At 42.0% G+C, this 22773-nt stretch overlaps 1 protein-coding gene and 1 long non-coding RNA gene across 7 annotated transcripts in view; one reads left to right on the forward strand and one right to left on the reverse strand.

The window, feature by feature from the left end:
* Nucleotides 1-22773, forward strand: part of EVL (Enah/Vasp-like) — a 172815-nt gene that overhangs the window by 58985 nt on the left and 91057 nt on the right. The gene's annotated exons all lie outside the window — the stretch shown is intronic.
* The window catches only part of LOC124903379 (uncharacterized), a 32650-nt gene continuing 10865 nt past the window's right edge, over nucleotides 989-22773 (reverse strand). The window contains exon 2 of the long non-coding RNA XR_007064329.1: nucleotides 989-22582. This is a non-coding gene — a long non-coding RNA (uncharacterized LOC124903379). The remainder of the gene's footprint in view (nucleotides 22583-22773) is intronic.

The raw sequence follows: 22773 nt of genomic DNA on the forward strand, positions 1-22773 counted from the left end.
TACCTCTATAAAGCATTTAGATACTCAATAAATTAATTCTTTTAATTTACTGTAAGCAGCAAAGCATTTTATAGACACTTATCCTGGATTAGAAATTGCATGGGAGCCAGGAAAAAGGCTGATACATTCTCCAGCTAGAGTACTTCTAGTCTTCCCCTCTCCCTGAGCGTTCAGACTCAGAATGCCAGAAATCAGTCCTTGGAAGATAATCATGTTTGCTACTGAAATGTTTATGACACAGTGAACGAAACATGGTGTGACTAATCAGCTGAGAGCTTGGATCTTGGCTTGGTTTGCATGCAAATTCCCTGGTCTGAGAGATTAATAAGTTCCTTGCAGTTGACAAACTGGGACTACAGTGTTTTCTGGCTAACTGTGATAATACAACCAGAGCCCACCACCAAGTGACCCCTGGTTCTCTGAGTCTGCAGTGCTTCTGTACTCAGGCCACAGCCCATTGCATTATTCATTGTTGTACGTTTCTCCGTGTCCTATTTCATTATCCTTGGAGCCTAGTGTGATCAGTAAGTGTCTGTTGAACTAACTAGGACTACACGGGACAACTATGACGTATGAGGTCTCTTCCGTGTAGGGAAGAGTGAATTACAAGTGAGAACTCAGTGAAGAGCACCCTTCCAACAATTGTAGCTATGATGTGATACATTCTGGGGTGGTTCTCCTGGACAGCAAGAGAATCAACTAAAGAGCTTTCAAGAGTGACTTTCAACTTGGGAAATCTATGTAATGTTTCTCAACTGGGAAGGCCCATTGCAATCTAAAGACAGGTGCCCAGGCCACTCCTCAAACCTCTTAAGTCCAAATATGTGCAGGTGAAACCCAGACATGTGCACTGTTTAAAGTTCCACTGATGATTCTGATGTACACACCTCGTTGGAGTTCACGGGAAGAACCTGAGCTTGGGAACCTGGAAACCCTAGGTTCTAATGATGCTGCGTTAGTTTATGTAAGTCACATAACTTCATTGGGATAAAATAGGAATAATATTTTATTTGCAGAGATGTTCAGAGAGGAGAATGGCCATGTGTGAGCTTTCATAATCAAGAGCACTGGAAAATGAAAAGTGCTATAACATGCTTTTGAATTCCACTGGCACCTCTGAAGGCAGATTGAACCTAGATGTGTTAGAAGTGTGGCTTGTACAGACTACAATGTTTGATCTAGAACTTATGCTGGTTCGTGGTCTTTCCTGGGTTTGATACTCAGTGACTAGTCACTGGGCTCTTCAGGGCATTTCGTAATAATTTACAGACATGAAGAATTCTTTTCACTCCAGTCAGCCAGTTCAGATCCTTCCAGATGCCAGGGTTGACTCACACTGCATTCTTTGTGACTACTCTGCCCCCCATCTTCATCAGCACGAGTGCTAGAAGAGAGAAAAGACGATTTACTTTCACTTGTTGTGTGGCCCTGGGAGAAACAGGAACACTTGGAGCTCTTTCCTTTTTGAAAATCAACTCTGGGTCCCATGTGCACAGACTGCATACCAGAGACACCAAGGAAGAGAACCAGGAGCAAGGAAGATGAGCGCCCCCTCGCAGGGCTCCCCTGCCTAGTTTTTCGGAAGTTACCACTCTTATTCATTTTTCACTGTATCTGCTAGATCAGACAACTGTGTATCAAGTCAAGATAGAGGCTTCCTAAGAGAGGTGATAAAAGAGATGGATAAAAGTGGTGGTTGGATGTATTTTTATGAGCAGGGCAATGAAACATTCTGTGATTTAAGAAGTGCACTCAGTGATGAAATTCCTTTTCCTGGAGAGAGGATGCATGCAAATCAAATGTACCTTGGAGCACTTCCAAAGCCACAGAATGAAGATTGTGTACTTTTATTCTCCACCTTTTTGGGGAGTGAAGGAATAGAGATTCCTAAGGAAGAGAAGGTTGACACGTTTTGCTACAGTTGATAAAATTCTTGTTTGTTGTCCTGGGCTGCTTGGTTGGGGCATTCATGATTATCAGATCCCTGGTATGAACAAAATACTAATCAATTCATCCCTACCCATGACCGAATGCTTAAACACAGCTTGCTTCATAGAAAGGTGGGATGAGAGGATGGTATCCCAGTACTTTGTGGATATAAAATTCTGTCCATTGCCAGGACGGCTTTTCATTGTTTTCTACAGGTGGAGCCCTCCATGGTCTGGCTGCGGTCTCTTGAAGCTTGGCTCCTTCCGCTCCAAAAAAATGATTTAGTCTGGATCTGCACTCACCACTTTGCTTCCCCATTTCCAAACCTTTTTTTCTTTCCATGAAATCCTCTAAAACCCAGCCCTGTGCATGCAGTATTTCTTCAGGAAGCCTTTTCTGACCTCTACAGCCCACAAAATTTCTCTTTTTTCTGAACTCTCCTATAACACTTAAGGTATATAATAAACAATCTGATATTTAATTTCCTCTATCTTATCCTCTTAACTAGATTGAGGGTTACTTGAAGGCATCTGTCACAGTTGAGCAGAGCTGGACACATGTTGGCTTCTCAGCACTCTTTGTTTATTCATTTTTATTACCTTTTTTTTTTTAACCTCCTGCATTATCCTTGTCATGTCACAGGCCCTAGAAGAGGAAATGGCAGTAAAGAGGACAGTTGCTGCCTTTTTGATGTCTGTTCATTTCTAAGCATGAAGGCTTTTGGGGATTTTGATGGAAGTGCTGAATCCAGTGAGCAACATCTGTTTGTGGATGGGAAAGATCAGCCGGAAAGACTAAAAGGGCCGAATGGTAGATTTTCAAAGCTGTAGGGATTGACAAAAGGGTTTGAGTTAGTAAAAACCCATGTGAAGTTTTAAAAGTCCTTACATATATAAATTAAGCACTTCTGATTCTTCTAGATTCCTATACAAACAAGGTAACACACTTTCAAATGTGCCTGCTGTACTGTGGGCACTTTTGTTATCACATCTAATTTTCACAGTAATCCTATGAACACCAGTCAAAAGCAGATTCTAGAGGCAGGTGGTTACATTATTATTACCATTTTACCTAAGAGGCTCCTAAGATTCAGAGAGGTTAAATCACCTCCTCAAAGTCACACTGCTTAAGTGGCAAAGCTAGGATTTGGATCTGTATCTTCTAACTAAAAAGTCAACATTTGTTTTCATCATTCCATAGCTGCTTTCTACCCTAATTTTGTAAAACAAGGAAAACCTGTTGGGTATTCTAGCAATGTTTGTTTTATATAATGTTTTATTGAATAAGTGGCTCTCTCACACTTACTGAACTTGACTATGATCAGTGTAACCTGCTAAGTACTTTATATGCATAAGCATATGTACTTGTAGCCTTATAAGAGCCCTATGAGATAGCTGCTCTTGTTGTCATGTCCATTTTACAGATGAAGAAAGTGAGTCATATGCTGGTTTAAAAACTTATCCAGCATCACACAGAGCTGGCATTTGAACCCAAGACCATCAGACTCTGGAACCTGTGTTTTGACTGCTGTTTTAGTCATACACAAGACTTCGTGGGAAAAACAAAACAAAAACAAGAAGTCCTGTGGTCAGTTTAAGAAGAACTGTAGGCCGGGCATGGTGGCTCATGTCTGTAATCCCAGAACTTCAGGAGGCCGAGGTGGGCGGATCACCTGAGGTCAGGAGTTCAAGACCAGCCTGGGCAACATGGCAAAACCCCGTCTCTACTAAAAATACAAACAAAAAACAAAAAAAAACAGGCGTGGTGATGGGTGCCTATAATCCCAGCTACTCAGGAGGCCGAGGCATGAGAATTGCTTGAAACCAAGAGTGGAGGTTGCAATGAGCTGAAATCACGCCACTGCACTCTAGCCTGGGCAACAGAGCTAGAATCTGTCTCAAAAAAAAAAAAAAAAGAAAAAGAAAAGAAAAATTATAATCACCCCTGCCCCGAAAAAGACAGTACATAGTAGCATGAAGGGTCTGAGAAGTCTTATGGGAAGGGGAATGTTGATTTTGCCCCCTGAGTTTCCCACATATTAAACATAACACTTAATTTTGAGTTTACATTCTAGAAAACACTGCTTGCCATAGTGGAAGGAGAATCTGGACCTGGCAATTAGAAGAGTAAGGAAGAAGAAAATCTTTAGGTCAAAATGAATCCCAACACTTTGGAAGGTTGAAGTGGGAGGATCACTTGAGGCAAGGAGTTTGAGACCAGAGCAAGACCCTGTCTCTACCAAAAAAAAAAAATTAACCGGGCATGGTGGTACATGCTTGTGGGCCCAGCTAATCAGGAGGCTGAGGCAAAAAAGATCATGTGAGCCCAGAAATTCGAGGCTACAGTAAACAATGAGCATGCCATTGCATTCCAGCCTGGGTGACAGAGTGAGACCCCAACTCTTTAAAAAAAAAATGCGTAAGATAAAAGAGTATAAGATTAGAAGTCCCATTTGGATGTGAGCTCAGGCTCCTCCTCTTATTGGTAATTATTGTGTTATTCTGGGCAAATTATATATTCGTTTTGAGTCTCCCTTATCTGTGAAATGTGGTAGTTGTGAGGAAAAGTATGATTATATATGCAAAAATGCTTAGTAAACAGTAAAGCTTGAAGTTGTTTTTGAAATTGTTGTTTACCAAGTTTATTTCTGTCCTAGTATGTAGCACAGCAACTACCAGCTACTAGAACAATTAACAGTTGGAGGAATGAATGAAGTTTGCCTTCTGTGTCTCTGGGTTCTGTAACTGGTATGTTACAACTGAAAAACTTTTAAAATGAGACATTATTCCTCAAATTTTCTTTCTAAATTGTGTTTTTGCTGGTTTTTGTATTTTTGGAGTTAAAATGAAGTCACTCAATTAGAAAATCAGAACCTATGTTTCCTTCATTCACTGTATTGTACCCTGGTTTGGACTGTTAAGGCAGTTTATTATGTGTTTTTTTTGGCAACAACAAATGTTTTGCATAGTTCCAAGATGGTAATTTCATTCAACAGTGTATGTGTTTTTTTTTCTTTTTATATGCTGCTCACTCCCTCAGATGGGGCCATCTGTTTTCTCTTTTTTTTTTTTAATAGGAATTTCTAATGTACCACCCTATTGATGTAGTTACTCTTACTGTTTCTATGATAAAGTCTAGCTCTAATTTATTAAGAATTGTCAGGAAGAGAAATGTGCTGCCGTTTTGCATACCAGTGTGGTTTTCACTGATGGGGAGAGCGCTGAGATGTACAGGTGCGTCATTTACCCTCTTTGAGACATTTGTTTTCTAGCACCTGGCCAAAGAAACAAGTATCAGTTTGAGATTGTTCCAATAGGTAAGACATTGCACAAAGATTGAGAAATTTAAAAGAAAAGACATTCAGGTCATTTTTAGCACACCTATTTGTCTGCTAGGATCACATTATTATTTCTAGAAAGATACGTGTTTTGCCAGCAACTGGTTAGTTGGGTAGAAGGGAGCTAGCATTTTCTATTCAACAGTAATCTGACCTAACTACCTGTCATGTAGTTTATGTGGGTCTAATCCCCCACCTCACCTAGGGGGCAGCACATGACCCAGACCTGGCCAGACCAAGACTCAATCCCCTGGCTATGGTGACTGGTTTAGGGGCAGTTTTGTCATCTAAGAATTCTCTATGGCAGGGGTCCCCAACCCCTCAGGCTGAGGACCAGTACCAGTTCGTGGCCTGTTAGGAACCATTCCACACAGCAGGAGGTGAGCAGTGGTGAGCATTACTGCCTGAGCTCTGCCTCCTGTCAGATCGGCAGTGGCATTAGATTGTCATAGGACCAGAAACCCTACTGTGAACTGTGCATGCAAAGGAGCCAGGCTGTGCTCTTCTTATGAGAATCAAATGCCTGATGATCTGAGGTGGGACAGTTTTGTCCCAAAACCATCCCCCGATCCCACCCCAGTCCATGGAAAAATTGCCTTCCTTGAAACTGGTCCCTACTGCCAAAAAAAGTTGGGGACCGCTGCTCTATGGGACTTGAGCTAGAACTATTATAAAAGATACTGTTTGGTTTCTTTTTTCTGGGATCAAGAGCTGTCAAGATCATGAAAGCTTCAAATCATTATTTCCCATCATGTGGGGAAGACTAATAAGCCAAGAGAAAGGGAAGTAGAGTTCAGTAATGACAAGAGAGCAAGTTCTCATGGCAGCCTTGACCATGTGCACTCAGGTATTTAACTTAAGCCAGGCTTACCCATAAACCTTTTTTTTTGTTTTGCAGTATATAAACAACAAATTTCATTGTTCATGTCTGTTACTTGCAGCTTAAAAAATCCTGAATAATGCAAAACTGCAAGAAAAATAAAAAAGCAGACTAAAATGTGTATCATTTTACCTCCAAAGGAGATGACCATCCCAGTCATCTTCAAAATTGTCAGACCACAGCTGCAGTGTTATCTTCTGTCTAGGTGTTTAACAGAGGACCGTGGCACTCTAGGGCACTGTTACGGACTAAATTATGTCTCCCACAACTCACTGGTTGAAGCCCCTGACCTCAGTGTGACTTTATTCAGAGATAGGGCCTTTAAGGATGTAATTAAGGTTAAATTAGGTCTTAAGAGTGGCCCCTAGTCCAATAGGACTGTGAGAGGAGGTGAAGACATGAGGGATGCTCATGCTCAGAGGAAAGGCCCTCTAAGGACACAGTGAGAAGGTGGCTGTCCACAAGCCAAGGAGAGAGGCCTCCAGAGAAGGCAAACCTGCCAACACCTTCCTCTTGGGCTTCCAAAACTGTGAGAAAATACATTGCTGCTGTTAAGCTGCCCAGTCTGTGGTATTTTGTTATGGCAGCCTGAGCTAACTAAGATAGGTTTTTCTTTCAAAAGAAAGAAAGAAGAAGAAGGTGAGGGGACTCAAGACCACATCTGAAGGGCAGTCCGTTGAAGAGCCTGGAATAAAAGGCTCTGGAGAGACAATCACTGTCTAGTCTAATTTCTCCAAGGTGTAGCATCCAGATAGAAAGCTACATGACATTGATTAAAGGAATCACTTCCAGGAAAGCCTTTCTAACAGGGGCCTTCTGCTCAGTGTTCAAGGCTTACCTTTTCCTCTTTCATTCCCCCAGGTAGAGTTAATCTTCCTTCTCATATACTCTGAAAATACTCTTGCACCTACTTCTGTTTCTGTACTTCTCATGCCCTTTTGTTAACTGGATTTGTCAGTCCCTGCCTTCTAGATGATGCACTGTGGAAGGAGCACGTGACATTAATTCCAGGCTTGGCTGGTGTCCAGCATGTGTTTCAAGTCTTCAGCAGTGTTTGCTAAATGTACAAATAAAATATAGAATATTAGAACCAAAAAAGTTCCTTAGGTATCCCCTTGTTCAGATCTCTGTGAGTCCCTCTTTTGGACATGGTATTTACCTTTCGCTTCCCCAGAGCAGACATGGCCAGTTCCCTTGAGGTATTTCCAGTGGGTAAGGGAAAGAGAAGTAATATTTCCGAAACAGCCACTATGTCCCAGGCAATATATAGTTATTTTCTTTCATTCATTCAGAGCTAGACATTAGGGATACAAATGGGATAGCTTCCATTTATTTATTCAACTATTGAGGGCCGAGAACTGTATTAACAATATGTCATTTCATTAACACCACTTTCAGCAAGTTAGAAATTACAGAGGAGGAAACACACCTAGACAGGGTCAGAGCTTGGTTGTGATCACCAGGTTAGTTAGCAACAGGACTGGAACTAGCTCTGTGGATTCCCATTCTGCTGCTTTTCAGTGAGGGGAAAGTGTAGACTAAGGAAAGCTGAAATCATCCTGGGTAGGATACTGTAGACGGAGAGCTGCAGGCAGCAGAAGGAAGTGCCTGGCAACCAGCTCTGTAGATTTAATAAAGCACCACGTTGGCCATGTCTATAGAATTAAGAGGAAAAGAAGGAAATTAAAATCTGAAGAAGTTGTGGCAAGTGGACAGAATTGCTAAGCATGGACAAAGCAAATAAATCCACAGCAGGTTTTAAACAAACTGATCTTATCATGCTCTTGTCTGGACAAACTTCCCAGCTCTGTTGGGCCTTCAGAATATTTAATTCTGACTTGCCATATCAAAGAGCAGAAGCGATGGACTCAGATGGCGGACAAGGTTGCCCACCACTGCCTCCTCTCGGTTTTGAAGCCCACGTGGTCTGGACAGCCAGGGCTCTTAGTCCCAAATCAGGATACTGTCTTAACAAGCGGAACAAGTCTGGGTCCCATTTGCATTTCACTTGTCCCTTTGTGCCATTAAACTTCTTTATTTTTAATAAGCTAGTTTTATTAATTGAAAAATTATTAACTGCTCATAATAAAAAGCTTAAACAGAATAATGCTAGAACTTCACTGATATCCCTCAACTCTTGGCAGAGGCCACAGCTTGGGTGGGTAGCTGTCAGAGATGGTCTTAGGTACCACTTAGTACCCTGTGTGCTGTGCCCTGGGGTGTGTGTGTGTGTGTGTGTGTGTGTGTGTGTGTTGCTGTAAAGAAAGAATATAACTTTGTACTCACAAAGATCAGAAACTAGGGATACAGTTTGGGTTATTGGTTACTTTTCCAACTTTTTTAGTTCTCTTGAATATATCCTGCCTCTCCCAAAAGCAGATGAATTCCTCAAGAGTGGGGACTGTGTTTCCTTCTGCAGCCATGACCCATAGGGCCCAGGACTGGCTTCTCAGATTTCAGAAAATAGAGTCATTAACCAAGTCACCAAATAAGTATAAGAACTGAAGGGAAAAAGGACAGGTAAGAACATTTGAGCTTTTCAAAGTTAAACCTTGGGGACAGAGACCCTGTGGGAGACAAATATTTTAAAAATAGGATTCCTCATATGAATACCCCATGATTTCAGCTTTTCTCACTTTATGAAGTTCAGTTATTTTCTAGTTAAAACAATCCTTGTTAGAGGCCATTTATTTATTTATTTGAGACGGAGTTGCACTCTTGTTCCCCATGCTGGAGTGCAGTGGCACAATTTTGGCTCACTGCAACTTCCGCCTCCCAGATTCAAGTGATTCTCCTGCCTCAGCCTCCCAAGTAGCTGGGATTACAAGCATGCACCACCACACCTGGCTAATTTTTGTATTTTTGGTAGAGACAGGGTTTTGCCATGTCGGTCAGGCTGGTCTCAAAGTCCTGATCTCAAGTGATCCACCCACCTCAGCCTCCCAAAGTGCTGGGATTACAGGCGTGAGCCACTGCACCCAGTTGTTAGAAGCTTTTAAAGCAAAACTTTAAGTCACATGAATAATTTGGACACATAATATGGGTAAAATAACTAGAGTTACTGAAGTGTTGAATAAACCACATTTAAGAAATTTCTAAATAAACAACAACAGTGAAGTTCTCTGTACAGTAGGGGATGGTAAGTAGTTTCCTAGCCTGGAATTGGTCTATATCTTCACCCACTCTGTTCTCTCTGGCTTGTGTGTCTGGGTGGTGTGGCTGACCCCATGAGCTGCTTTTTGTTTTTAATAGAGACAGGGTCTCGCTCTGTTACCGAGGTTGGAATGCAGTGACGCGATCATGGGTGTCACGACCTCCTGGGTTCAAGTGATCCTCTCACCTCAGCCTCCTGAGAGGCTGGGACCACAAGTGCACACCACCACACTGGGCTAATTTTTTAACTTTTTTGCAGAGATGGAGTCTTGCTGTGTTGCCCAGGCTGATCTCAAACTCCCGGGCTCAAGGGATCCTCCTGCCTTGACTTCTCAAAGTGCTGGGCCTACAGGCATGAGCCACTGTGCCCAGCCCCCATGAGCTGTTGATCTTTGTGGCTTCTGTCCCTTTGTGTTTGCTTGTGGCACTTGGACAGCCTTAGCAAACGGCTCAATGCACAGTGATCCTGTTACTAGCACTTTGCTGCCCTTACTACAGATTTTTACCAGCTCCTTTTGTTCCGCTTTTTTCTCTCTCCTCCTTTCTTTATGCATTTTTAACATTACTGTATTTTTTCTCTTGTGAACTCTTCCTTGTTCACAATCTACCATGTAGCTCTTCCCCTCGCCCTGTATCCTCTCCTCAGCTCAGATTAGCCTCCCGTCTAGTCTACATTCAAGCTACACGTTCTCTGGACTTGGATTAGTTCTTTTTGTCATTGTTTCCCCATGTTTTTCCTTTTAGCATGGGAGCAGAGAGAAGGTAGAGTGTGGCTGCTCGTCTGCCCCTCAGAAAGCAGCCATCTGGGCAGGACAGAACGGAGCCTGACTGCTAGTCAGCAAACGCAGTTCAACCTGAGAAAGGAGGTCTTCCTTTCCTTTGCTTTTATCTCCCCAGTCTGCACCAAAGGGTTTATATATTGAATAGTGAGGCACCTTCCCTGGGATGTGAGACCAGGAGGAGAGGTTTTGCCTCAGTATGTCTCCGTGTCTCCATTTAACTCTTCATGACCTTTATTGCCTGTGTTTTTGGTCTGTAAGTAGCTCTGAGAGCTTTCATAAATCACTTAGCTGTTGTATGCTGCAGTTTCATCCTCTTTGAAATAAGAATAATAAATGTGGGCATGGAAGAGCAAATGAAATAGAGGATGTAATAACATAAAGTTACTTTGAGAAATTAATGGTAGTTATTAGCACATTCCCCCTGAAAAAGCATAATATGCTTAAGCTACAACGTTTGTGGAGGCTAAAGACACTCCATTTGAGATGCTAATCTGCCATGTTGAATTCTGATTGACCCCAATTCCGGGTCAGTCAACACTATAAATTCACAGTGATGTTATATTAATAATATATTAATACATAATATGCAGAAATGTGTACTTAGAAACAGTGGCATTGTTGATACAATATGGTTATTGTTAACAATAAGTGTTCCTCTTCCCCCATTCCTTTTAACTCCAAACCTAGGAAGGCAGTCAGTTTTAAAAGGAGGAAGTTATGATTGGCAGCATGGAAAGGAAAAGATATTGAACTTTTTTTCCCAGAACTCCTAGGTGTAAGATTATGCTCTCCTGTTACAAGCCATGAGATGTGAGGTGGGCTTGGATGCCTCCTTTTAATACAGTAATTGTAACATCCCTGTTTACTTCACAGCATAGTTTAGATAATTAAATGATACAATGTATCAGAAAGAACGTGAACTGTCCTGTGGTGCAAATATAAAAGAAGGCAGAATGTGGGCAGAAGGAGGGATGGGGCAATTTCCTGTGGCCAAGACCTAGGTCTATGCCGCTTGCTAGTCAAATGGCCTGGAGCCACTCTCTGAGCTTCAGATTTCTCATATTTAAAGTGGAAATGATTGTAATAAATGTGAAGACCCCAACACACAGTAGGTGCTCAGTAAATGTCTTTTAAGAGATTATTATTAGACTTATATCCTTCTGAAACTGAGAAGTGATATCAGTGCAAAATACATCCCAGACTTCAAAGATATTTTCAGTTGGGTATTGCCAAATGGATTTCACCATGGACTTAGACCCCATAAATGAATGTGTCAGTTTTAGTATATTTTTCCAGGTATTTTTTGGTGAACTGTTTTTTATTTGTGTGCCAATAGTAATACCCGACTAGAAAACCCTATCTGAAAGCTTTACTTTTGATTTCTAGAAGAAAACATTTCTAAGGTGGGAATCAATTAATTGGAGAACAGAGAATAGTGAATAGTTGTGCACTGATCTCTGAAGCCACACTGCCCAGTAAAAACAACTCAAGCCACAAATGGGAGCTGCATGTGGAATTTTAAATATTTAATAACCATATGAACTAAAGTAAAAAGAATGGATCATATTAATTTAAAAAATATATGTGTTTAAACTACTGTATCCATAATATAATTTCAACAGTGTTACTATGGTAATATGAAAATTATTAATTAACTATATTACATTACATTTTTGTACTAAGTCTTTGAAATTTGGGCTGTATTTTACCCTAACATCACTTCTCAATTTGGACCGGCCACATTTCAAGTGCTCGGTAGTCACACATGGCTTGAGGCTACCAAAGGCTACCAAATTGGATGTCTAGAGCCCTGATGAACTGAGACAGAAAGTAACTAAGACAGAGAATCTCGGTTACATTGTTGCATTTAGCAAATGGGTTTAAAAGTGCCAGGCCAAATAGAATTTCCAGACTTACGTGATATTCTTTGCTCTGTATTAGATTTGCATTGATACAGGAAGTTTCAAAATACTCTCTAAATTGCTCCTCATTTCTCTGTTACTGACAAGCGCACAGTGGAGACGCTGCCTCCTTAAACTCCCCCATCTCTGGGCCCTGGGCCCAGCGACCTCTGGCCAGGGTGAGCATGCCGTGAGGGTGCTTCAGTAGCATTCACTGTGCCCAGGGCCAGTTCATATGCTTTTTTTGGTAGGAAGATTTCTTTTTGGAGACCAGGAGTTACTTTGAGGAATTAATGGTAGTTATTAGCACATTCTCCTGAAAAAGTATAATATGCTTAAGCTACAACGTTTGTGGAGGCTAAAGCCACTCCATTTGGGATGCTAATCTGCCATGTTGAATTCTGATTGACCCCAGTTCCGGGAATGCCTCTGAGATTTCTACTTTTATATACTCACCAGCATTGATGTTATTGTAAATACATACTTACCATAAACCCTGCCCTTAGTCAAGTTTTCTGAGGTATATAAGCCCTGAGTCTGGTGGATAACAGTGTGGGGATCGACTGTCTCAAGGCCACCTGAGATATGGCTTCTGTTTGTGAGTCCTTATTAAATTTTTCCTTCTGAAAAACTGGATTTGTCAACCTCTTTTTTCAGCATATCAGCTCCATCAACCTTTGTGGGTAGGTTCACATAGACCTGTTCACCATGGAACAACATGGCATAAAATTTTTAGGGTTTTATAGATCACTGAAATCCATCTGAGCACCTCAGGTTAGGAACCCCTCTGTATTAATCAGGATTCTCCAGGGAGTACCAATAGGAGATAGATATATATATATGTATGTGTGTGTGTGTATATATATATGTGTGTGTGTATATATATATGTGTGTGTGTATATATATGTGTGTGTGTGTGTGTATATGTATATGTATAGATATACAAGGGAGGACTTATTAGAGGTATTGAGTCATGATTATGGAGGTTGTAAAGTCCTACGATAGACCGTCTGCACGCTGGAGACCCAGGGAAGCAAGTATTGTGGCTCAATCCAAGTCCAAAGGCCTGTGAGCCCAGGGTGGGGGTGGGGTGGGGTGAGGTGCTCAGGCAAGTCCTGGAGCCCAAAGGCTGGAGAGCCTGGAGTTCTGATGTCCCAGGGGCAGGAGAAGAAGTGTCCCAGCTCCAGAAGAGAGAGGGAATTCACCTTTCCTCTGCCTTTTTTTTTTTTTTTTTTTCTTTTAGAGACAGGGTCTCACTCTGTTGCCTAGGCTGGAGTACAGTGGCACAATCATGGCACACTGTAGCCTCATGCTCCTGGGCTCAAGCAATCCTCCCACCTCAGCCTCCCAAGTAGCTGGGACTACAGATGCATGCCACCATGCCTGGCTAATTTTTAAATTTTTTTGTAAAGATAGAGTCTTGCTGTGTTGCCCATACTGGTCTAGAACTCCTGGGCTCAAGCGATCTTCCCACCTCAGCTTCCCAAAGTGTTTCTTCCCTTTTGTTGTATCTGGGCCCCCAGTTGTATATGTATAGATATACAAGGGAGGACTTATTAGAGGTATTGAGTCGTGATTATGGAGGTTGTAAAGTCCTACGATAGACCCGCCCACATTGAGGGTAGGTCTTCCCTACTCAGTCCACCAACTCTTAATGCCAGTCTGGAAACACCCTCAGAGGCACACCCAGAAATAACACTTTACCTGCTCTCTAGGTATTCCTTAATCCGGTCAAGTTGACATCTAAAATTATCGATCACATCCTCTTTCTATAATGGTTTATAATAGTATTACAGTGTGCACCCATTGTGAAGCAAAAGGGGGTTGGGGGATTCACAACATGTGTGAACCTGCGTAGCATAGTTGTGAAATAGTATACAAGAAACTCATGACAGTAGTTGCCTTGGGAGGAAGCTAAGATGGGAAGGGAGATAGTCCCTATATTTTTTTAATATTTTAACTTTCACAACACACAGTATTTCTTATACAGAGATTTTGGCTTACATATACATACAATAACAACGAGAACAATAAACCCTTAATCCAGAATTACATATTAAAACTGGCAAGAAGACTTCAACCAAAGGCTATAGGAGAGCAAACATAATTTGAACACTTTCAGTCTGCCGGGCACTGGGGAAGACGGGTAAGGACTGATACTTGTCCTCTGAGAGCTCACAGCATAAAGACAGACCTGGAAATAGACCATTGTAATTACAATGTGATCCAAGGAGTGCCACAGGCAGACCTGGGGTATGTGTGGGTATCTAATTCCCAGGCCCAGGGTTCTTGGAGAAGACCAAGCCTAAACCATCTCCACACATCAGCTGGAAGTAACCTAAGCAGGGGTGGTCCTCGCTGCCTGAATGGACAGTGAGAAACAGCATGGAGTGTTTCAGCAGTGAGCTCCCCAGTATAGCTTGGATGTAAGGGTTGAAGCAGGCTCACTTTGGTGGGAGCTTGGAGGGGAGACCATGGGGCATCCTTATACCACTTTCCCACTGGGGACAGTGCAGTGAGCCGTGATTGCACCACTGTACTCCAGCATGGATGACAGAGCAAGACCCTATAAAAATAAATAAAGAAATAAATACTGGAGCAAAAGCTAGGCATAGAGACAATAAAAGGAGGGAGTACCTAGTTACAGCTAGTGTGTTGTTGAACGCTGCCAGAGGGGTTGGTAAGCCTGATGATGTAGTTAAGGCAGCCACCTCACTCCCGTCTGCAGTTGGGAGCCACTGCTTTGTAGTACAATAAGGGTGACGATACAAATAGTGCCCACTTTGTGGGATTGTTTTGAGTATTAAAAGAGTGTGTGATGTTTTCTGGAAGCTGGTGCATAACTCCTACTCCTGCCTTAATCCTCTGTTCCTGGCACCTCTTCCTGGTCATCTTTTTAAGTTTCCAGAGTAATCCAAGGGCCCTCCTGTGCTCTCACATCCCCTGCTCTTGCCTTGTTATCGCACCTGCCACACTTTATCAGATATCTGAGTGTCTTCTTGAGGGCCAGGACTGCATTATGTTTTACTTCCTATCCGTGGTGTTTAGCATGAGCAGGTCACGTAATAGGCGCCCAACACATGTTTGTTAGGTGAAGAACTCTCTCGTGTAGGTCACAATGATTTTCAGTTTGCAAAGCACTTCTCATATCCTCAGTCTCATTTGATCCCTGCCAGCACTCAGTCAAGTTGAAAGGACGGGATTAATCTTCCATTTTGTCAATGAACACACATTCAGAGAGGTAGAGCTAGGACTGTCAGCTGTGCTGACTTCTGCTGTACCACACTACCCATTTGAGGAGCTATTGATAAACTACAGCATTATTGTTTTTTTAATCTCTGTCCTGCCCTGGGCAGATCAGTAAAGCTAAATCAGCCAGTGGTGTTTGTTCTCCCTGGGTGTCTGTGTTTGTGCCTAATGGGCAGAATGAATTATGGAATGAATCAATGAATTCTTGGAATGCTCTGAGGCCTGTGGGCACTGATGATTGTAAGTAGTCTTGACAACTTTTTCCTCCAGCCGTGTCCTGCATCTCATGAAAGCCAGGTTTATTTCCAGCCTAATTAGAGCAGTAGGTCACCCAGAACAGCTCAGAGCAGAAATAAAATCTTCAGAAGAGACCTGTTTGATTTGATTTTCCCCCATTTTGTCATTGGAAAAAAAGTGTTGAAATTTCAAATTGTAGGATTCCTTTCTCTGTAAAGGCCTCTGAGATAGCCAAATGATAAGAAAAACTCGGGAGACAGTGCATTATACTTACTGAGTCAGCATCCCTAACAAGGAAATCCAAGATACTCCAATGAGCATTTCCTTCGAGTGTCATGTCGGCATTCAGAAAGTTTTGAATTTTGAAGTATTTTGAATTTCAGATTTTTGGATTAAGGATACTCAGCCTCACACATACAATGAGTATATATGAGGCTTAGGTCATTGAAGAAGGCATTGGGTTATTTATTCTTTAGCAAACACAGTGTTGACTAAGAATTTTGACAAATAGACCAGGTGAGGTGGCTCACACCTGTAATCCCAACACTTTGGGAGGCCCAGGCGGGCAGATCACTTGATCTCACGATTTCAACACCAGCCTGGCTGACATGGCGAAACCCTCTCTCTAAAAAAAATACAAAAATCAGCTGCACGTGTTGGCGCTTGCCTGTAATCCCAGCTACTCGGGAGTCTGAGGTGGGAGGGTTGCTTGAGCCTGGGAGGCAGAGGCTGCAGTGAGCCAAGATGATGCCAGCGCACTCCAGCCTGGGCGACAGAGCGAGACCTTCCTCCCCCGCGCCGCCAAAAAAAAAAAAAGAATTTTGACAAATTATGGAGGCCTGGGCTAAACGTCAGGAGGGTTGATTTTCTTTTTCTTTCTTTTTTTTTTTTTTTTTGAGGAAGAGTCTTGCTCTGTTGCCCAGGCTGGAGTGCAGTGGCGCGACCTCGGCTCACTGCAACCTCCGCCTCCTGGGTTCACGCCATTCTCCTGCCTCAGCCTCCCAAGTAGCTGGGACTACAGGTGCCTGCCACCACGCCCAGCTAATTTTTTTGTATTTTTAGTAGAGATGGGGTTTCACCATGTTAGCCAGGATGGTCTTGATCTCCTGACCTCATGATCCACCCGCCTCGGCCTCCCAAAGTGCTGGGATTACAGGCGTGAGCCACCGCGCCCAGCAGGAGGGTTGATTTCTAAACTCAGTTTTGCAGCCAATATTTTGAGACCTTGGGCAGATCTCTCTCTCTTTTTTTTTTTTTTTTTTTTTTTTTTTACCTGACCCCAGTTTCTTCAGGAAGCCGTTAAACCTAGGACAGAAACTGTCCTTGGGTTTAATCTGAAAACAATCAGAGCCCTGCAAGTCCTTTGATCCAGTCTCTTACCTAAAGTAGACGGGCGCTATAGTTACCATTGGCTAGATGGCCAATGGCAAACCAAAATAGTTTTCCTGTAGCTTCCCCCTCTGAAAGCAGGAAGCATAGCCTATCTATCTCTGGACTCCCTGTACCCAAGCACAGAGCCTGGTTCTAGTCATTGGGCAGAATCGTCTCCCTAGGGATCACACAGAAGGATCCGTTCTTTCCACTGAGCTCCGTTGCACAGGTCCAGAGCCAGAGCTCACACTCTCTTTCCATTGCTCCGGGACAGACAGCCCTGCTTTCCTCAGCCAGTTGTCAGATGTTATGATTTCTATTTGCCTTATTATCTTAGTTGCCGTCAAGGAATGCTTCCAGGTTGGCAGTGCCTTGCTTATATTGTAATATCAAAAACTGATCTAAATATTTCATTTGTGTAGCCTGGGTTACACATTCTGCAACCTATATCACGGAATAAACCAGGTACCCAACCACTGTTCATTATTCAGATTGTGAGTTAGCCTGGTGTTTTTACAAGTTACCCTACAGAGAGCTTGGACACGTGGGTAGAAAGTCCAGAAATAGGTCCCGACAAAAATGCCAAGTGATGTTTGACAAAGGTAAAAAGTCCGTTCAGTGAGAAAGTATAGCCTTTTCAGCAAATGGTACTGGAACAATTGGACACCCTTATGCAAAAAGAAGTGAATTTTGGCCTAATCCTCACATGTTATACAAAAGTTACTTCAAAGTGGTTCATAAATCTGAATATAAAATCTAAAACTATAAAACTTGTGGAAGAAAACTTGAGACAATCTTCATGACCTGGGATTTAGGGAAGAGGTTCTTAGACATGACAGCGAAAGCACCATCCATAAAAGAAAAAGGATAAATTGGACTTCATCAAATTAAATTTCATCAAAAAGATAAATTTTGACTTCATCAGAATTAAAAACTATTATTCTGTGAAGGATACTTTTATAAGAATGAAAAGACGAGAGACAGACTTGGAGAAAATATTTACAAATACAAAGGGCTTGTCTTTGGAATATATAAAGAACTCTCAAAACTTAACTATAAGAAAGTAACCCAGTTTTTTCAACTGGGCAAAAGACAGACACTTCACCAAAGAGGATATACAGATGGCAAATAAGCACGAGAGAAGATGCATGACATCATTAATCATTAGAGAAATGTAGGTTAAAATTAGGATATCATATGCACTTACTAGAGTGACTAAGATGAAATACTGACAGTGCCTTGGGGGTGCAGAGCAGCAACTCTCCTACACTGCCAGAAGGAATACAAAATGGCACAGCTACTCTGGAAAGCAGTTTGGCAGTTCCTTATAAAGTTTTACATACAGTTAACATATAACCCAGCAATCCTACATAGTCAGCCTATGGAAATGAAAGCTTACGTTCGTGACCATTGCCAAAAACTGTGAACAGCCCAAATGTCCTTTGATTAAATGGATAAACAACTTGTAATACGTCCATACAACAGAACACTACTCTGCAAAAAAACAAACAAAAAAAACACTAATTATTAACTAACACAACAGCTCGGATGAATCTCAAAGCATTACACTGAATAAAGGAGGCCTATTAAGTCATAAAATGTTACACGTTGTATGATTCTATTAACATGACATTTTCCTAAAGACAAAACTGTTGAGATGGAGAACAGATCAGTGGTTGCTGGGAATTGGTGGGGGCGGATATGACTACAAAGGGAGAGCTGAGGGAGCTTGGGAGTGATGGCACTCTTCTGCCTTCTGATTGTGGTGGTGGTTACACCACCAATCTATGTAGGTGTTACATTCATGGAAATGAAATAAAAGCAAAACCAAACCAAGCAAAAAGGTCTGAGAAACAAAAACTCCAGTAATTTAAGTGGTGAAGTAGTTTTGCATTATTATGTTCCTTTGGATTTATTTGATTTGTAATTAACCAAATCTAGCTAATGTGTCCTATTTTTCTTTAAATGTTCCTTAAAACCATTGGAAATCATTGATAGGAAGCAGAAGGTTTGGAAACATATAGCTTGGGAAATAAACAGTTCTCAGGTCAAGTTCATAGGCTTGCCTCAAAGCGTGTGAGTGTAGTTCAAGTTCAAGGAATTGCCTGGAAGCCAAAGAGCACATGTACTGCAACTGTGTATTCTAGGGAGGCCTTTTTTGTCAGCAGCGCCCTTGCTTCATTTTATGTCATTGTACTCTCTGGACAGCTGAAATAACTTGAGAATTATCACCCTGGATGCAGTCCTTTATACTGAGTATTGTTTCTGATGTGAGTCAGAATGTGGGATGGTTTTCTTCAACAGTCTCAAAATTCTCCTGTTACTTCATAACCCAGTTGGAAGCATTTATATTTTCAGTCTGCATTTGGGGCATTTTTAAACAATATCTTTATTGAGATATAATATACATACCATAAAATCCACCCTTTGAAAGTATACAACTCAGTTGTTTTTAGTATATTCACTGAGTTTTGCAACCATCACCACAATTAATTTTAGAACATTTTTATCACCCCAAAAGTAGATTCTACCCATTAGCAGTCAGTCCTCAGTCTCCCCCAGCCTCTCCTCACCAGCCCTAGGCAACCCCAATCTACTTTTTTCTCTATGGATTTGCCCCTTTTGGATTTTATATCGTATACATGGAATCAGACAATATGTGACCTTTGTGACTGACTTCTTTCACGTAGCCTAATGTTCCCAAGGTTCATCCATGTTATGGCATGTTTGCATCACTTTCTGAGACATTAAGTTGCACACATTTTCTGGCCCCTTTACAAAGCAGGATTTACGTTAGTCGATCCTCGCTCAAGGGGACACAGATATAAAGGAAGCAACAGTGGACTGCCATAAATAAGAATTGTAAATCCAACAACTCCCACCCCGTAAAAACATTTTTTTCCAGTGTTAACAGTGGTTGTCTTTGGGGAAGAAAGGAGCGGGGAAAGGAGAGGAGCTTTAATTAACCTTATGTATCTTCCTTGTACTTTGAGTTTTCTGTCTTTAAACATATATAACTTTAAAAGAAATGTCAACAGGAGGTATCTCAATGGGGAGCTAACGTGTCCTTGCTTTTTTAAAAATTTGTGTATTTCATTTATTTATTTATTTATTTATTTTTTTTTAGACAGTCTCACTCTGTCGCCCAGGCTGGAGTGCAGTGGCGCGATCTCGGCTCACTGCCAACTCCACCTCCTGGGTTCACGCCATTCTCCTGCCTCAGTCTTCCGAGTAGCTGGGAGTACAGGTGCCCGCCATCGCACCCAGCTAATTTATTGTATTTTTAGTAGAGACGGGGTTTCACCGTGGTCTCGATCTCCTGACCTCGTGATCCACCCGCCTCAGCCTCCCAAAGTGCTGGGATTACAGGTGTGAGCCACCGCGCCTGGCCAAAAATTTGTGTATTTTTAAAAATATTTAATAATTCATATTTTTAAAATCTTTGCCACAATTGTTTATTTCTCTCCATAATGCTATATTACTTGTGTATGAGCTCATGATTTTTTTTTTTTTTTGAGATTGGGTCTCACTCTGTCCCCCAGGCTGAAGTGAAATAGTAAGATCATAGCTCACTGCAGCTTCAACCTCCCAGGCTCAAGCAGTCCTCCCGCCTCAGCCTCCTAAGTAGCTAGGACTACAGGCAGACACCAGCACGCCCAGCTAATTAAAAAAAAAAAAAAATTAAGAGATGGGGGTCTTACTGTGTTGCCCAGGCTGGTCTCGAACTCCTGCCTCAAGTGATCCACCCGCCTCAGCCTCCCAAAGTTCTGGGATTACAGGTGTGAACCACTGCACCCAGCCTTATTATTTTTACTAGCATACAGTAGTTCCCCCTGCCTAATCCACGGTTTTGCTTTTCACTGTTTCAGTTACCTGAGGTCAACTTTGTTCCAGAAAAATTCAATGGCAAATTCTAGAAATAATTTGTAAATTTTAAATTGTAGGCCATTCTGAGTAGCATGATGAAACCTTGCACTGTCCTGCTCCGTCCTGACTAGACATGAACCATCTGTTTGTCCAGCCTGTCCATGCTGTCCACGCTACCTGCTTGTCAGTCACTTGGCAGCTGTCTCAGTTATCAGATCTACTCTTGCTTATGATGTATACATAGGGTTCAGTACTGTCATGGTCCAGGCATCCACTGGGGGCCTTGGAACATATCCCCCCATGGATGAAGGTGACTTCTGTATAATATTCTTCTGGTTTCTTAATCTCTTTTCCTTCTTAAATTCTATTTGTCTGATATTAAAATTGCTAACTTGATTTTCTTTTTACTTATAACAGCATTATAACTTTTCCATTTCTTTATTTTCAGTCTTGAAGCATTCATTGGTTTTAGCTATCTTGTGTGGACTGCGTACCTCTGGTTCTTGTTTTTTATTCAATCTAACAATTCCTGTCTCTTGGCCAGTAATTGTAACTTGTTTATGGTATGGTCATTACTATTGCATTAGCACAGCAGTCTTCAAACTGGGGCATGTTTATTCCTGGGGGTACATAAAGACTTCCTGGGGATAAATTGGCGAGGGAGCCAGTTCCCTGGTTTCTAACTTCCGTGTATATTCCAGGCCAATGTCGATCTGTTAGGAAATGTGTCTGTGTGCTGCTGCTCCTTTCTCCCATCAGCTTTCATGGCTTCTCCTCTTACTGTACAGAAGAAAGGCATATCACTGACCCCTTCCACATTTTACGATCTTCCTTACCTTACCTCAGGACATAATACCTCGGTGGACCAAACAGAAATAGTTTGAAAACTCGTTGGCCCTAAAGGAGAGTCTCATAAAAGCAAAGCAAAGAAGGTCTCTGTAAAAAATAACGGAAGGGCAGGTCTTTTTTCTTCCAGGCTACCAACTCATGGTGCATCCCCATGCCTTACCTATCTGGTAGTTGGTTTTAAAACTAAGAATCCCGAAGTGCTATGCTTTCACTGTGATGTGTATAGCATGTTTGAGTTGAAAATAAGGTCAAACTTTTTCTGACAGAAAGTAAATCTGATTCGCCTGAATGTTTGACAGAGCAGACAGGCTTTGCCAATTATGTTCTATGTCAGACCTTCTTTGTAAATTCTGAAAGAGCTTACACTTACATATTAAATTGCATTTATAAATTTAATATATTGAATGCATGCATGCCATATATAATGTTTCTAAATATTACATCTTTTCGCAACCATTTAAATTTACCTTGAAAAATTGTAGATGTCACCTTAAAAATATGCAGGAGGGGCCAGGCACGGTGTCTCATGCCTGTAATCCCAGTACTTTGGGAGGCCAAGGCAGGAGGATTGCTTGAGCCCAGGAGGTCAAGACCAGCCTGGGCAACATGGTGAAACCCTGTCTCTACCCAAAAATACAAAAATTAGCCAGGCATGGTGGTGTGCACCTGTAGCCCCAGCTACTTGGGAGGCTGAGGTAGGAGAATCTCTTGAACCCAGGAGGCAGAGGTTGCAGTGAGCAGAGATTGCACCATTGCACTCCAGCCTGGGCAACAGCAGGAGACCGTGTCTCAAAAAAAAAAAAAATGCAAGATACATAGGTTTTCTAAATACTTTTAGAAGGTATGTGTATTAGTCTGCTTGGGCTGCTGTAGCAAAATACCATAGACTAGGTGGTTTAAACAAGACATTTATTTTCTCACAGTTCTGGAGGCTGGGAAGTCCGAGATCAAGACGCCAGGCAGTTCAGTTTCTGGCAAGGGCCCTCTTCCTGGCTTGCAGATGGCCACCTTCTTGCAGTGCACTCACCTGGCAGAGAGAGAGAGTGCACATGAGAGCATGCACATGTCTGGCATCTCTTCATATAAAAACACTAATCCTGTCAATCAGGGCCCTACCCTTAGGAGCTCATTTAACCTTAATTGACTTTCTGCAGGCCCTGTCTCTAGTTATAGTCACATTGAGGGTTAGGGCTTCAACATATGAATTTTGGGGGCCAC

Source organism: Homo sapiens, chromosome 14, assembly GCF_000001405.40.
Source record: "Homo sapiens chromosome 14, GRCh38.p14 Primary Assembly".
Classification (NCBI taxonomy): Eukaryota; Metazoa; Chordata; class Mammalia; order Primates; family Hominidae; genus Homo; species Homo sapiens.